Source organism: Homo sapiens, chromosome 9 (genome assembly GCF_000001405.40).
Source record: "Homo sapiens chromosome 9, GRCh38.p14 Primary Assembly".
Classification (NCBI taxonomy): domain Eukaryota; kingdom Metazoa; phylum Chordata; class Mammalia; order Primates; family Hominidae; genus Homo; species Homo sapiens.
In genome coordinates, this window is record NC_000009.12 from 109,521,075 (window position 1) to 109,538,849 (window position 17,775).

A 17,775-nucleotide genomic window follows, 5' to 3' on the forward strand; every position below is an offset into this window, starting at 1 on the left:
TAGAGAACAATGAATCAACAAAAAAAGAGATGGCAATCTGGAGAAAGGTTGGGGTAAAGAGTTGCAGCCAGAGGGGGATGTTCTGAATTCAAAACTTTTTTTAAGGCAGGGTTTCCCTCTGTCGCCCAGGCTGGAGTGCAGTGGTGGAATCATGGCTCACTGCAACCTCCACCTCCCAGGCTCAAGCAATCCTCCCACCTCAGCCTCCCAAGTAACTGGGACCACAGGTGCGCACCCCCACACCCAGCTAAGGTTTTGTATTTTTTGTAGAGATGAGGTATCACCATGTTGCCCAGGCTGGTTTCGAACTCCCGAACTTAGGTGATCCGCCCGCCTCAGCCTCCCAAAGTGCTAGGATTACAGGCATGAGCCACCACGCCTGGCCTTGAGTTTGGAACTATTGCATCCCAGTTTCAGTAAGGTTCCCTCTGCCTGCAACATGTCCCACTTCCTTTGCCCAACTTCACCTGCATCACACCTCTCATCCTTGGGGTGTCAGCTTAGGAATGATCCCTTTGGGAAGCCTTCTCTGATTCCCACTTGTCTGAGTGAGATCTGTTTTCTATTTGCTTCCTCACATCCTGAGGTTTTTCTACCAAAATACTTATCAAACTATATTCCAACTCTGATTTAGTTGTCTTTCCCACTAGACTTGAATTTCCACAAAAGCAAAGACGAGGTCTAGCTTGCTCATCCTGGTACTCCCAGTGCTTTCAAGGGTGCTTGTGTTCATCCTTTTATTTGTAGAATGACTATTATGTTAGAACTAATATGAATGGGCTAACAAATTCCAAGATGGAAATGAAAATCATAGAAGGGACTCAGGGAGCATCTAGTCTTATCCCTTCATTTTACAGATGAGGAAACTGAGGCTTAGAGAGGGTACCTCTCCTTAGAGAGGAAACCGAGGCTTAGAGAGGCTAGAGCCTGTCAGTGGCAGAGCTGGAATTAGCGAGTTATAATGGGGACTTTCTGGGCTTTATTTGCTGTCTGATTTGTCTAAGGAATAAAGGTGTCTTAGGTTCTTGTGACTCAAAGTGTGGACGGCAGACCATCAGCATTAACCGCACCTGGGAATATGTTAAACTCTCAGGACTTACCCTAGACCAGGAGGGCAGCTATCTAGGCTTCTAAATCATTACAGTTCCTTGCAGGAAAGCCATCTGGTCAAGTGGAAAAGAAATCCTAGCCAATGTCTTGTGGCATTAAGTGCAGGCTATAGACCAAAGGCCAAAAGTGTGGGCCCCTCACCTCTCAAAGTTCAGACAGTTTCGAAGTCCAGGGCCTGGCCTGATGGAGGATGATGGCCAAGATTCAGGTGAGCTGACTCAGTGAATAAAGAGGCCTCGAATAAAGAGGACCTCCTGGAAGCACGGCAAAAGCTGACTAGCACGCCTGATGCTGCACATTGTAGCATCCAACCTTGCAGCTATTACACTAAACAAATATTTTTATAAATGTATATTTATTTATACAAAGAATTCCACCCACACTGCTCAAGGTGGTGGTGAAAGTAATATACGCGTACCTGCTAGTGGCATTGTAAACTGCAGCCTGTTTGGAAAACACTACAACATGTAATAACAACTATAAAGTGATTTATCTCCTCAGACCAAGGAATGCCACTCATAGGAAACCATCCTAAGGAGATAATTCAACACAAGTGAAAAGCCACATGCATGAGATGTTTATTAAAGTTAAAAGTGGAAAATACTAAATCAAAAGGGAATGGTTGAGCAAATTATGACATGGTATCTTCATGAAGACCATTCAACTTTAATTATAATATAATTAATATGTCCCACTTCACCTGCTTGGGGTACAATAGTGATGAAGAACATGATCTGTGGGTTTTCAGTTCTGACTCTACCATTTACTGTGTTACCTTGGACAAGTTTACTTAGCTGTTCTATGCCTCAGTTTCCTTATCTGTAAAATGGGGATAATAGCAATACCTATTTTATAGGATTGTTGTGAGGATTAAATTATTTAATTACGTTCATTAAAGTGCCTGGAATAGTGCTTCTCTATAAATTTATATCTTTTTTTTTTTTTTTAATGAGATGGAGTCTCGCTTTGTCGCCCAGGCTGGTGTGCAGTGGTGCGATCTTGGCTCACAGCAACCTCCGCCTCAGGTTCAAGCGATTCTCCTGCCTCAGCCTCCCGAGTAGCTGGGACTACAGGCACGTGCCACCATGCCCGGCTTATTTTTTGTATTTTTAGCAGAGATGGGGTTTCACCATGTTAGCCAGGATGGTCTCCATCTCTTGACCTTGTGGTCCGCCTGCCTTGGCCTCCCAAAGTGCTGGGATTACAGGCATGAGCCACTGTGCCCAGCCTATATCATTTTTTTAAACAGTCAGATTAAATGGCTTGATAGTCGCATACCACCTGGTACAAGAATGCTTTTCTTTCGTCTTCAGAGTCTGACCTCCTAATAAGTTTCAGCCCTCCAGGCATATTTCCCAAGGACTCCTTTGAAGACTCAAGGAGAGAAAACAAGAGAATGTCTTCAACTGGGCTCTGCATTTCATTCTTTATGGCTCTTGTTGCTATGTTGTGTGGCCATTGAAACAGGTGACCTGGGGACCCTCTGGAATTCTCCTTTTCCAGAATTATGCTCAAATGTGGTAACTTCACCCCATACATGCCTAGACTCCCGGATCTTTAGAGCTTATATAAATGTGTACACACATGCACAGACAAACACACACATAGTGTATGCGGCCTTCTGCAAGTCTCTTCCTGAGGGTCCCTGAGTCCCAGTTGCTGAGCATGAATGAGATTCTTTCCTTCCTCTTTCAACCCCTTGGTCTGTTTGCAATGACCTCCCTGGGATGTCATTCCTTTCAGTGGATAACTACTTGGTCCAATGACAATAACAACTGCTGCTGGTCATGGTGGCTCACACCTGTAATCTCAGCACTTTGGGAGGCTGAGGTGGGAGGATTGCTAGAGCCCAGGAGTTCAAGACCAGCTTGGGTAACATAAAGAAACTCTTGTTTCTACAAAAAATAAAAATGTTAGCTGGGCCTGATGTGCACCTGTGGTCCCAGCTACTCAGGAGATGGAAATGGGAGGATCACTTGAGCCCAGGAGGTCAAGGCTACAGTGAGCTATGATCGTATCACTGCACACCAGCCTGGGAAACAGAGTGGGACCTTGTCTCAAAAAAAAACCAGCAGACAAACAAACCAACCCAGCTGCCATTCATTGAAAGCCTGAAGAGTGCCAGTTGTTTTGCTGCTGTGCCTTTACAAACATCCATCCTCAGAATGAACCTATGAAGGAGGTACTATTATTCCCATCTCACAGCTGGAGCCTCTGAAGTTCAGATACATTAAGGAGCTGGCTCAAGACTCACTACTCATGTGAAATGCCTGAGATTTTAACCCAGGTTTGTCTAACTCCAAAGCCCACACTCAGAATCATGAGCCTAAACTGCCTCCCTGTGTAGGGATATAAACAAGAAGTTTATAATAAATGGTAACTGCAAAAGTAAAAGCTAAGTCACATTGCCACAATGAATATAATTGTGTAAAAATATGTCTGCATGTGGACAAAGCCTTGAGAATATTTGCTGTGCAAGACTGATAGGATCGTTATGGATTCTTTTCCTTTTAAGTAATTTCCTTTTGTGATAGCTATATAGTTTTTTGATTTGGATTTTGTTTTGTTTTTGAGATGGAGTCTCGCTCTGTCGCCCAGTCTGGAGTGGAGTGGCATGATCTTGGCTCACTGCAACCTTTGCCTCCCTGATTCAAGTGATCCTCCTACCTCTGCCTCCCGAGTAGCTGGAACTACAGGCATGCACTACCACAGCTGGCTAATTTTTGTATTTTTAGTAGAGACGGGGTTTTGCCGTGTTGTCCAGGCTGGTTTCAAACTCCTGGCCTCGTGGCCTTAAGTGATCCGCCCACCTTGGCCTCCCAAAGTGCTGGGATTACAGGTGTGAGCCACCTTGCCTGGCCAGTTTATTTTTATTATTTTTTACAGGGTATTACTTTGTCACCTGGGCTGAGGTGCAGTGGCATGATCATGATCATGGCTCACTGCAACCTTGACCCCTCTGGCTCAAGTGATCCTTCTGCTTCAGCCTCCTGAGTAGCTGGGACTACAGGCATGTGTACCACCACACCCAGATAATTAAAAAAAAATGTTTTTGTAGAAATGGGGTTTCACAATGTTGCCCAGGCTGGTCTTGAATCCCTGAGCTCAAGCGATCCTCCCACCTCAGTCTCCCAAAGTGCTAGGATTACAGGCGTGAGCCACTGCACCTAGCTGTTATAGACTTTTTGCCATTTTAAAAAGCTAACTCCACCTGCAAAAATTAACTTCCTCTAAAGTCCAATAGTTCTCAGCCTTGGGTGCACATGAGGATCATCTTGAGGAGCTTTTAAAAGATACCCAATGCCAGGGCTCCATCACAGATGAAGTAAATCAGATTCTCTAAGAGCTGGGCCCAGGGAGTGGTATTTTAAAAGAGTCCTCCCATTGGTTTTATGTGCAACCAGGATTGGGAAACAACTTCATGGAGAATCTTGGCCTGCCACTCTCCCTCTTCAGGAGAACCTAGCTGACCTATATTCTGCAGCCTCCTGCTAATTAACTCAAGCGTTTCCCTCTGTGTTCAGGAAGGGTCTAGCAAGATGACTTTTTCTCTAGTCGTTTTTGCAGAAGGGCACTAGGAGAACTTTTTGGGAGATAGAAATTTTCTATAGCTTGATTGTGGTAGTTACATGACTGTATACCTTTGACAAAACTCCTTAAGCTGTATACTTAAAATTGGTGAATTTTGTTATTTGTTCATTATACTTCATTGGGCTTTAAAAAGTTATGACTCTTGAAAATGAAGAAATAAAACTTATTTACAGATTATATGTTTTAATATGAAGAAAATGTGAAGTTTATAAAGTATTTGATAAGTAAATTTAGCAAAGGAACTGAATGCAAGGTCAATATACAAAATTCATTTGTATGTGTATTATATATACTAGCAATAAACAACTAGAAAATAAAATATTTTAAATACCATTTACAATAACAACAAAAGCCACAAAATATTTAGGAATAAATCTAATGAAAGATTTCAAAGACCAGTACACTGACAACCATAAAGCATTGCTGAGAGAAAGTAAAGAAGACTAAAATAAATTGAGGGATAAATCATGTTCATGGATTAGAAGACACAATATTGATAAGATATTAATTTACTTTAAATTCATCTGCAGTTTTAATGCAAACTCAATAAAAATTTCAGCAAGTTTTTTTTTTTTTTAAAGTGGAAATGATTAGTTTATTTTAAAATATATGTGAAGCTGGGTGCAGTGGCTCATTCCTATAATCCCAACACTTTGTGGGGCTGAGGTGGGAGGATTGCTTGAGCCCCGGAGTTTGAGATCAGCCTGGGCAACAAAGTAGGACCTGATTTCTACAAAAAAAGTCAAAAAATTAGCCGACCATAGTGGCACACACCTGTGGTCCCAGCTATGTGGGAGGCTGAGGCAGGAGGATCCCTTGAGCCCAGTAGGTTGAGGCTGCAGTGGGCTGCGTTCATGCCACTGCACTCCAGCGTAGGTGACAGAGTGAGCCCTTGTCTAAATAAATAAATAAACAAAATTTATGTGAGAGCAAAGGACCTAGAAGAGCCAAGGCAATAGAAGAAGATGAACAGAGGACTTCTAATATCTGATAACAACTTATAAAGCTATAGCAATTAAGATAGTTTGGTACATGGATAAATAAGTAGACAAAGGAAATAGAATAGAGATTCCAGCAACAATCCCAGCCATAAATGGTCATTGGATTTATGACAAATATTCTACAGCAAGTCAGTGGAGAAAGTATCAACTTTTCAGTAAGTGGTGCTGGGTCAATTGGATATCCATAAAAAAAAAGAAAGCTAGATCTTTCATACCATACACAAAAAGTCATAATGAATCATAGACGTAAAAGGGCTAAAATAATGAAGATTCTAAAGGGCAACATAACAGGATATCCTCATGGTCTTGAGATAAGCAAAGATTTAAAAATAGGATACAAAAAAGTATAAGTCATGAGAGAAAAACTTGATAAGTTGGACTTCATTAAAATGAATAACTTCTGGCTGGGTGTGGTGGCTCACACCTATAATCCTAGCACTTTGGGAGGCCAAGGTGGGCGGATAATTTGAGGCCAGGAGTTCAAGACCAGCCTGGCCAACATGGCAAAACCCTGTCTCTACTAAAAACACAAAAATGAGCCGGGCATAGTGGTGCACGCCTGTAATCCCGGCTACTTGGGAGGCTGAAGAATGAGAATTGCTTGAGCCAGGGGCGGGGAGGTTGCAGGGAGCAGAGATTGTGCCACTGCACTCCAGCTTGGATAACGGAGCGAGACACTGTCTAAATAAATAAGTAAATAAATAAAAATTTAAAAATAAAATAAAATGAATAACTTCTTATAGTTAAATAGAAGGAATAAGTTCTAGCATTTTGATAGTAAGTAGGGAAGTTATAGTTAACAGTAGTTTATTGTGTATTTTTCAGAATAGCTAGAAGAATTGTAATGTTCCCAACTGGAATAAAAGATAAATGTTTGAGGTGATGGATATTCTGATTACACTGGTTTGATCATAACACATTGTGTGCAGGTATGAAAGTATCATATGTACCCTTAAAACATGTACAACTATTGCATATCAATAAAAATAGATAAGTAAAATGAATAACTTCCATTCATCAAAAGGCACAATTAACAGAGTGAAAAGCCAAGCCACAGACTGATAAGGGATATTAGCAATACACATATATCCGACAGAGGACTCATAATCAGAATATATAAAGAACTCTTACAAATCATTAGGAATACCATCTAATTCAAAAAAATAGGCAAAAAACTGTAAAGATTACTTCACAGAGGAGGACATCCAAATAATTAATAAGCAAATGAAAAAGTGTTCAACATCATTATGCATTAGGCTAATGCAATTTAAAAGCACATGATATCTCCCCCATCACTTGTCATTAAAAGCATTATAATATCTAGTGTTGGCAATGATATAGAACAAACTGGGATCCTCATACTTTAATGGTGGATACAGTCATTTTGGTCAATTATTGGACAGTATTTACTCAAGTTTAGCAAAAGAAATCTTATGTCCAAACAATGTCACGTGGCAAATACCCAAGACAAATGAGTTCTAATGTTCAGCAAAAGACATGTATTTGAACATTCTTAGCTGCATCATTTATAAGAGCCAAACTGGAAACAATGCAAATGTCCATTAACAGTAGAGAGAAAATATAAACTGTGTTATGTTCATCAATGGAATACTACATATCAATGAAAAAGGTCAAACTACTGCTATGCGCAATGAAGAGTACCGATCTCATAGATGAGCCAAAGAAGCTAGACATGAAAGTGTACACGATCTCTGATTTCACTTATATGAGGTTCAAAAACAGGCAAAACAGATCAATGGTGAGGAAAGGCAAAATAGTGTTTATCTTTGGCAGTTTTTAATTGGGAAAGAAGCCTTTGGGAGGGCTGGATATATTCTTTATCTTGATCAGGATGGTCATGTCAAGGGTATATATAGTGTAAACAAACATTCACTGAGCTGCGCTGTTCATGTTGGTGCACTTTTCTATATATATGTATATATATATGTTATGTCTAAAAAAATTCAAATCTCTGTGTGTGTGTAACAGCCTTTCCTTTTCCTTCTCCTCCTCCTCCTTCTTCCTTGTGTGTGTGTGTATGTGCACCTCTAGAGTCTGAAAGTATTAGTTGTACATATCTAATCATCTTAATTCTACTTCCTTGTGTGTTAATTTTCTTTCTTGATACTGGTGCTCTTCTCTGATGTTGGCTTTCCTTAAATATTTGGCTACTCTTGGCTGCCTACTCTTCTTTGACTTTAGAAATCTCTGTTAAGCTTATCATTGTTGTAGATATGGTCCAAGTAAGTGCCTCCCATCATCGTGGGGGAAGGACAGGCTGTATGTTGGTAGTTGTTCTCTGGTGTGAGGATTCCTTGTCTTCCACCCCTTGAATTTGCTAGGAACCTGGGACTTCAGTATCTATACTCAGCACTTCCACCTGGGAGAGATGCTGCTCTCTGTCTCTCATGACACATGAAGGAGGGAGAAGGGCTGCAGGTCCAGCAGCTTCTCAAAGTGGTTCTGAAATCTTGGTCTCTCAATCAGCTGCATCAGCACCATCAGGGAACTTATTAGAAATGCAAATTCTCAGGCTCCACCACAGACCAGCTAGATCAGAAACTCTGGGCTGGGGCACAGCAATCTGTGCTTTAACCATCCCTTCAGGTGATACTGATGCCCACTCAAGTCTGAGAACCACTGTCCGAGAGAGTGCCCCAGTTAATTTCCTGGAAAATCACTCCTCCTCCTTAATCCTTTTTCACAGCAGGAATTCTTGTGAGTATTTCCAGCAAAGGCTCCTTTATTCCTGTTTCTCCTTCAGTCCATTCCTATCTGTTCTCTATCACTCAGAAACTCCTCATCATTTCTGGTGGGTTGCTAGCAATTGCTCTTGCTTTCTAGGCTTCTAATGAATTAAAACTTTTTTTAATTGGCAAAATACACGTAATATAAAGTTTACCACCTTAAGCATTTATGTGTACAGTTTAATAGTGTCAAGCGCATTCACATTGTTGTGCAACCATCACCAATAACCATCCACAGAACCTTCATCTTGCAAAACTGAAACTGTATACCTATTAAACAACAACACATCATCTAACAGATTTTTAAAAAACATATGAAATGGAATGCGTTGGGGGTGGGGATTTAAAGTTACTAGATGCATATGCTCTGCATACCATCTTTTCTTATTTATTTATTTATTTATTGTAGAGACGGGCATCTCACTATGTTGCTCAGGCTGGTCTTGAACTCCTGGCCTCAAGCATTCCTCCTGCCTCAGCCTCCCAAAGCACTGGGATTACAGGTGCGAGCCACCATGTCTAGCACATCTTTCCTTATTTTATTGTGGCAAAATATTAATAACATAACATTACTAGTATAACTATTTGTAAGTTATAGTCCAATGGCATTGAGTTCATTCATTTTGTGGTGCCACCATCACCACTAACCACTACCCATCTCCAGAACTTTATCATCCCAAACTAAAATTCTGTACCCATTAAACAACATTTCCTCATTCCCCCACTTCCATCAACCCTTGGCAACCACCATTCTATCTTCTGTCTCCCTGAACTTGACCACTCACATAAGTGGAATCATATTTGTCCTTTTGTGATTGCCTTATTTAACTTAGCATGTTTTCAAGGTTCATCCATGTTGAAGCATGTGTCAGAATTTCCTTCCTTTTTAAGGCTGAATACTATTCCATTTATGAATATACCATATTGTGTTATTTATTCATCTGTTGGTAGGCACTCGGGTTGCTTCTATTTTTGGGGTATTGTGAATGGTGCTGCTATGAACATGTTGTATCCATATATCTTTCTGCTTTCAATTCTTTTGGGAGTATAACCAAAAGTGGAATTGTTGGATCATATGGCAATTCTGTTTTTAATTCCTTGAGGGAGTGCTATACTATGTTCCATTGCAGCTGCATCATTTTACATTCCCACCAGCAGTGCACAGGGGTTCTCATTTCTCCACATCCTTTTCCTAACATATGTCATTTTCTGGGTTTAAAACAAATAATATCCATTCTAATGGGTGTGAAGTGATATCTCATTGTGGTTTTGATTTGCATTTTCCCAGTAATTAGTAATGTTTAGCAACTTTTCATGTCCTTATTGGCTATTGATATATCTTCTTTAGAGAAGTGTCTATTCTAGTACTTTGCCTATTTTTGAATTGGGTTGTTTTGTTGTTGTTGTTGAGTTTTATGGGTTCTCTATAAATTCTGGATATTAATGCCTTATCAGATATGTGATTTGCAGATATTTTATCCCATTCTCTGAGTTGCCTTTTTACTCTGTTGAAAGTGTCTTTTAATGCACCAAAGTTTTTCATTTTGACAAAGCCCAATTTGTCTATTTTGGCTTTTGTTGCCTGTGCCTTTTATGTCTTATCCAAGAAACCATTGCCAAATCCAATGTCATGAAGCTTTTCTCCAAAGTTTTCTTCTGTAGATGTCATCTCGATCTAACCCCTAACAGCAGTTTTCAATTGTCCACTAGTTATATCTCAATAATATCTAGCTTTTCCCACCCCCATTCTGCCCCTACCATAACATGAATGTTGAAAACCTGGCAATTTTGCTGTCAGCTCAGAGTATAGATAGGGTGCTCTCTGATGAAGGGCTAAGACAAGCTGGACTAAGGTCAGAAATCTGGATGGCCTTGATCTTATTAACCCTGATCATGCCAAAAGCGTCCTGGGAATAGCAGAATAGGCAAAACTGTTGGAATCAGTTGGTTCTTGCTCAAAATCTTGGTTTACACCCACTCGCTGCCACTATTAGCTGGGGGGTCTTGGGCAAGTTCTGTAACCTCTTTGGGCTTCAGTTTTGGTTTTATTTTTAATCTTTAAAATGAGAATAATAACACCTACCTTCAGGTGTAGTTTTGAGAATGAGATAATGTATGGTCAGGCTCCTAGAAGCTGGGAGCTCTACTTATATTAATTACATCATGTGAGATATGGTTGTTACCCAGTACATCCCCTCTGCTTGGCCTCTAGCCTGTGAGCATCTCCCCAGGCTAGGCTGGTACATCTTCATCTCTGGATCCCAACACTTGATTCTCAGTCTGGCACATGGTAGGACCTCACTAGACATTTGCCAAGTGATTGACTTGGAGGTTAAAAAAAAAAATCCCTTGCATTCTGCCTGAAAGCCACATCACTGTAATGGGACACAGGTTTGGAGTTGTGAGTATGAGAACTCAATTGAAATGTGTTCTACCTCTTTGAATGTATTTCGTTCCACATTATGGATACCAAAGAATGCCTGAGTTTTCCTCTTTCCTCTTCATTTCTGCTGTTAATTTTCACTTTCCAAATGAATGAGTCTTATGTGTAAGAATTTTAGAAGGGATTTTGGTGGGAGTGAAACTGGGTGACCAAATGTTCCGATCTTAGCACTGAAAGTCCAGAAAACCCCTCAGTCCTGGGCTTTCTGTCAGTACAGCTGGCCACTCTCAAAAGACAAATGGAAGCTGGCTGGCAGATACACTAACTACAAGATGGAGATATTTTGAATCCCCTTTAAAGTTTGATTTGATAGATTCTTAATGGTTCTGGTCAGTTCCATTGAATTTGCTACTTCAGGAAGTATGGAACAGATTAGATTTTCATTCTGGTTTCATTCAGATTTTTATTCTCTGTACAAAGTAATCCCATTGGCTCTTTTTATTACTATTATTATTTAAGACCTTATTAACAGGTGCTTGCAGTTTGTTGACTTTTTGAAAAAATCAAGTTGTAAACTTTCATTACAAATTAAAAATGAAGTTCTTACACATCTCCACTTGACCAGATAGGAAACAATTTAAAAATCTTTAAAGGCGTATTGTGAAAAAAACAGGCTTTAAAAAAAAAAAGAACTAAACTAAACTCATTTGTTATTACCAAAAAGAGGCGTCTTTAGGTGAAAATAATAAAAACCCCATGCTGCTTAGATAATACAGATAGTTCTATTTATCTGGTCAATGGGCAAAAAGCAAGCACTTAAGGTCTTCAGCTCCAATCTTTTGTTCATTTCTTATTGCTGGAATTTCATATTTCTTCTTGTTGGATGACTACACCGGTTGATGATAGAGATGATAAGTCGGAATTTACTCAGCCCCGCCCTGCTTAGCCTCGGGAGCGGACTAATTCTCAATTATCAGCTGGTGGATCGGCTGCTTTTGTCTCTTTGCCACCTTGTGGTTTAGGGTTTTCTTTTCTGGGTTTTTTTTTTTTTTTTTTTTTTTTTTTTGAGACGGGGCCTCGCTCTTGTCCCCCAGGCTGGAGTGCAATGGCGCGATCTCGGCTCACTGCAACCTCCGCTTCCCGGGTTCAGGCAATTCTCCTGCCTCAGCCTTCTGAGTAGCTGGAACTACATACAGGCGCCCACCACCATACCTGGCTAATTTTTTTTTTTTTTTTTTTTTTTTTTTTTGAGACGGAGTCTCGCTCTGTCGCCCAGGCCGGACTGCGGACTGCAGTGGCGCAATCTCGGCTCACTGCAAGCTCCGCTTCCCGGGTTCACGCCATTCTCCTGCCTCAGCCTCCCGAGTAGCTGGGACTACAGGCGCCCGCCACCGCGCCCGGCTAATTTTTTGTATTTTTAGTAGAGACGGGGTTTCACCTTGTTAGCCAGGATGGTCTCGAATTCCTGACCCCAGGTGATCCGCCCGCCTCGGCCTCTCAAAGTGCTGGGATTACAGGCATGAGCCACCGCACCTGGCCGGTTTAGGGTTTTCTGTGTGTCTGCGTCGGTAAGTTGCGGCGGTACCGACGTTGAGGTGGCTGCTGACCTTGGGTCTCACCTCGTTGATTTTCTTTATCCTCTTCATTGCCGTCCTCTCTAGGCTGTCTTTGGCGAGGAGGGCCCCTGCGGAATCGTGGTCTATATCCCTGATATATACTCTGCCACACTGATCTACCTTGTTTTCCTGCACCCTGGTTGTCAGCACCCTCCATCACTTCTCCCTGCACAGGAGGGTTGGAATACTGTGGTCCACGCCCATAGGGTCTCCGCATGTAGGAAGGTGGGAACCTTCACCTGCTGTAGGGCCGGCGTGGTTGAGCCTGGCCTTGGGGAGCACGCTCCCATCCCTCGTTCTTTCCCCCACTCTCGCTATTCTGGTAGTTTTGCTGGTAATTGGGTGGAGGACCCCTACGACGTGGATAGCATCTATAAGGGTTACGGTCTGCTGCATGTTTACTGCCTTGAACTGGAACACCACCAGGACCTATAACATGTGCTGCCTCTGCACCCTTTTCTCCTTCAACCACATCAAACTCCACAGTCTCTCCATTTCTACACTGCGAAGGTACCTCCTGGGGTTATTCTTCGTTTTGGCAGTCTGGGGTACAAATGTATCTTCCTTGATGTCATTCCTGTTGATGAAAGCATATCCGTTCCTTAAGTTGAACCATTTTACTGTTCCCAAAACCTTCGTTGCGATGACCTTCTTGTCCCCGCCGGCAGGTGCTGCTGATGTGAAGCCTCCCGGGCCACCGTTTCCTGTGCCGCTGCCCGTAGTGCCGGGCGTGGTGTCACCGGCGCTGAGGGCGGGGGGCGGCGAGCGGCAAGCGGCGGGCGGCTGCTGGGTCTCGGCCTCGCTGCTCAAGGTTGTGGTGATGGTGACTGGGGCCGGCTGCGGCAGCTGCGGCTCCTCCCGGGGTGTGATGGTAGCTAGGCCAGCGGTGGTGGTGGGGCTGCTCAGGGCTCTCTGGGGTCCGCTCTCCGCTCCCGCTACCGATCGAACTCTTGGCTCTTAAAAAGTTAGTGTGGCCGGGCGTGGTGGCTCACGCCTGTAATCCTAGCACTTTGGGAGGCCGAGGCGGGCGAATCGCCTGAGGTCAGGAGTTCGAGACCAGCCTGACTAACATGGTGAAACCCCGTCTCTACTAAAAATACAAAAAAATACAAAAAAAAAAAAAAAAAAAAATACCTGGGCGTGGTAGCTTGCGCCTGTAATCCCAGCTACTCGGGAGGCTGAGGCAGGAGAATCGCTTGAACCCGGGAGGCCGAGGTTGCAGTGAGCCAAGATGACGCCATTGCACTCCAGCCCGGAAGACAAGAGCGAGACTCCGTCTCAAAACAAACAAACAAACAAACAAACAAACAAACAAAGTTAGTGTGCAGTAGTTTTGGACATGCTAAAGTGACTAAAATTGAGACTAAGAAAAATAATTGTATTAATCGTGGGTCATAGCTCTTTTTCTAAACCTATTTCTGGATTGCATTTTGCTCTAATAAAAAGCAGGCTTACTTCCTTGGTAAAGTATTTGTTCAAAGACAGGTCTTTATGAGCAATCTTTGGAGGAAGATGAAGTGGGTTAATTTTACTTTAAAAGCTCTGTGGGATGCCAGAGCTGGTAGGATGTGCGAAAAGATGGGCTTATGGTATTTAAAAAATCAGTTTGAAAAGAATTGTGGTTCGTATTTCTCATCTCAGTTAATATTCCTGAGTTTGAATTTTGTGAAAGATCATTACAACGACTTAACTGAAACATGATCAGGCAGGTATTTCATATTCTGGTACGTTCTTTATGATCATTCACTGGCCGGCAGACTCCACATATCGTTTCCATGGGTCCAGGAACCTCCCTGCTGTTGTCAGCCTCCACTCAAAAATTTCAGTGTAAAATATAGACCTGATCCAGTTATGTTCCTGCTTAAAAATCCTTACTAGCTCTCCCACTTCTCCCAGGATAAGTAAAGTCCAAAGACATTCCAGGCTTGCAAGAGCTGATCTTCAGTTGATCTGATAAGCTTATTTTCTGGCTTTTACACATCCTCTTTTTTTTTTCTTTTTTTGAGACAGAGTTTCTCTCTGTCGCCCAGGCTGGAGTGTAATCACGTGATCTCAGCTCATTGCAGTCTCCGCCTCCAGGTTCAAGTGATTCTGGTGCCTTAGCCTTCTGAGTAGCTGGGACTATAGGTGCGTGCCACCATGCCCAGCTAATTTTTGGATTTTTACTAGAGATAGGGTTTCACCACGTTGGCCAGGCTGGTCTTGAACTCCTGGCCTCAAGTGATCTGCTTGCTTCGGCCTCTCAGAGTGCTGAGACTACAGGTGTGAGCCACTGCACCTGGACATACATTCTCTTTAGAGCCTTCTGCTTCCTCTTTTTCTTTCTTTCTCTTTTTAAAATTAAGGTGAAATTCAATAACATAGAATTAACCACTTAAACAGAACAATTTGTGACATTTAGTACATTTACAATGTTGTGCAACCGTCACTACTGTCTAGTTGCAGAGCATTTTCACCACCCCAAAAGGAAGCCCTGTACCATGAAGCAGTCACTCCCCATTCTCTACTCCCTTAGCCCCTGGCAACCACCAATCTGCTTTCTGTCTCTATGGATTTGCCTATTCTGGATATTTCATATAAATGGAATAATAATAATATTTGACCTTTTGTCTGGCTTCTTTCACTTAACATAATATTTTCAAGGTTCATCCACATGGTCACATTTATCAGAACTTCATTCCTTTTTATGGCTGAGTAATAGTCTGCTGTATTGATATATCACACAACTTGTTTATCCATTCATCCATTCATGGACATTGGGTTGTTTCTACCTTTTAGCCGTTGTGAATGGTGTATGCATATCCATGTATACCGATCTTCAATCCTTTTGGGTATATACCTACAAATGGAGTTGCTGGGTCACACAGTAATTCCGTTTCACATTTTGAAGAACCATCAAACCATTTCCCCTCCTTTCTCTTGTGTTACAATAATAGAGTACATTCAAGACAATTTTTGTCAAAGCGCAATGATACGATGCCTTTAATTATAACAGGCTGTATATGTATCCAAGGGCAAGGACTGTGCCATCTGTGAATCTCCAGTACGTGGCACAGGGCTGCAAAAAGGTGCTCAATAAATGTTTGTGGGATTGGATGGGTTACACACAGCTTTATCCTTAGGGAAGATATGGTGTATGTAAGGCTTTGAATATGAGAAGAGCTAAGTGGGGGTAGGGGTAGGTAAGGCAGAAGAGACCCTGCCAACTCCTTTGAACAAAGGGAAAGGAAGAAGATATGGTAGAACTAGTTCCCCTTAGACCTGGCTTCTCTTGCTGCCTTGCCTTTGATGAACTTATTGTAAGTCTCTGGGAAGTTAAATTCCCCTCTGTCAATGAGAAGATTGAATATTTTAGTGATATTCAATTTTTTTGTTTGCTTTAAGTTGTGGAAATATTCCCTGCCCCTCCCTTCCCCCCACCCCCCAATATGAAGTCGCAAATGAAAGCCCAGTGTGGTTGGAGTGTGCGTTTGAGGGAAGGGAAGGGTGCAGGGCAGGGCATGGACCTGGCTCCCTCTCCGTAGCCCCAAGGACCTTGGCAGGACTCCAAGACTCCAAGGTCCTGGCATTTTCTGAGCCTCCATCAATAGCCTACAAAGCCTCTGTTCTAAAAAGATTAAGAAAGCATTAACAAACACAAGTACACATTATTGTGCAAAAAGTATTTTTCCAAGTAATAGAGGGGTCCTTAAGGATTTACATAGCAACTTAAACAAGAAAAAAACCAAAGTCTTTCTAAAAAATTATAGTGACTAGTACCCTTGGCTAAAAAGGGAGTTTCCAACCCCCTCCTCAACTTCTTACGCTTAAAAAGAAAAGATGTAGGGCATATTACTTGAATAGAATTGTCAAACATTTTTATTTTCCTAGCTGAACGGATTCCTGCACCATCAGAGCATTTCCTCTGAAAATGTCCTGCTCTAAACCAAAGCTGAACATGTGAGTGGGCAGGTCGAGTCTTGTCCATCCATTCCGGGTTTCCTTTTCTTTCTCTCTGTCTGCCTGACTCTCTCCTGGTGAAATGGCTTGAAATTATGACATCTACACTCTACTGTCACGTTGTCTTTTCTTTCTAGTTCTTTACTTCTGAATTAATCTGAAAGATTGGGGCTTAGCTGAGTCCTCCAGATCACTTCCTGACACGCCAATTGTGTTGGCAAGCCTTACTGGTCCCTCAACAATGATCATTGCTGACACTTGACTTCCTTTGGTCCAGTTCAATTCCTTATGTCCACTGAAGCTCATTTGTAGGCAGCACTTCTGAAAATATACTGCCCAAACTTCAAAATCTTCTATTTGTTCAGGTTGAGAGAAGTTATTCAGGCAATGAGACTGAGAGATGGTTTACACAGATATCTGAATGAGCCAAAACCATGTTGTTCTTATCATTAACGTTCCCACTTGCTGTCATAGAAGTGTAGTTTAAGCCATGATAACCACAAACTTTATTCATATTCTACCATTAGCCCTCTCATTCACTTTTTGTGAGACTTCCTAAAATTCCGGAATTTCTCCTAAAAGGGAGTTCCTATGCAATGGCTGCCTCTTTTTGTATTAGAGCCCTGTTATAACATAGAAAGGAATTACAGTTTTAGTATGCTTCTGATTTTCCTCCCTTAATGTTGGCTTTCACTTCAAAATGGGCATAAATGTAAGCACTGCAATATTTTCATCATTTCTTTAAATGCAGTTTTTGAAAGGAACTTACAGTTTTCCGGAGGATGCCCACAGGATAATCCCTCTTGCTCCACCATGATGCTGTTGGACTACTGGAGAATTGAATGCTGTAATCCTTTACATAGCACTTAAAAAATGATTTAGAAAAGCTAAAGTCTGTCTTGGAAACCTCAGAACTTGTCTCAGAAATCTTGCCTCAATCGGCTTCCAAAGTATAATGTAACATGATTATTTTCCTTTCTGGAAACCTGTGAAACAGGTCTTGGAGCTCCATTTAATGTGTCAGAGTTTTAATTGATTCTTTGCTGTGTCTGTTCACCCCATAATAGCAGCGCTAAGCACAGGACGTGTCTTACAGGAATAGTCACCCAGAGCTTAGCTTGTTGTCACATAGCAGGCAGACAATTTCACAATGAAAATAAATCTCTTTCATGCCCCGAGAATTTCTTCCTGATGAAATGTTCTTTGCTGATGTTGAGAATGCGATCATTGATATCCACCAGTTAGCACTGATGTGGTTCCAGGGAAAACTTAGTTGCTATTCCTTGCCAGTTCTAGAAAAACAGTTTGATTGACAAGAGGGGTACCATGGAACTCTGATCCTTGAGTTCATTCACTTTTCTCTTGCTTCTTGGACCACAAGATAGGAG

The 17,775-nt window shown here is 41.9% G+C and overlaps 1 protein-coding gene and 1 pseudogene across 1 annotated transcript in view; both read right to left on the minus strand.

Moving 5' to 3' along the window:
- The window catches only part of PTPN3 (protein tyrosine phosphatase non-receptor type 3), a 162,727-nt gene extending 145,381 nt beyond the window's left edge, over nt 1-17,346 (minus strand). The window contains exon 1 of the mRNA XM_011518888.3: nt 17,157-17,346. Coding sequence (XP_011517190.1) covers nt 17,157-17,202 — 46 coding nt within the window. The 5' untranslated portion in view covers nt 17,203-17,346. The remainder of the gene's footprint in view (nt 1-17,156) is intronic.
- Nucleotides 11,342-13,397, minus strand: YBX1P6 (Y-box binding protein 1 pseudogene 6; annotated as a pseudogene).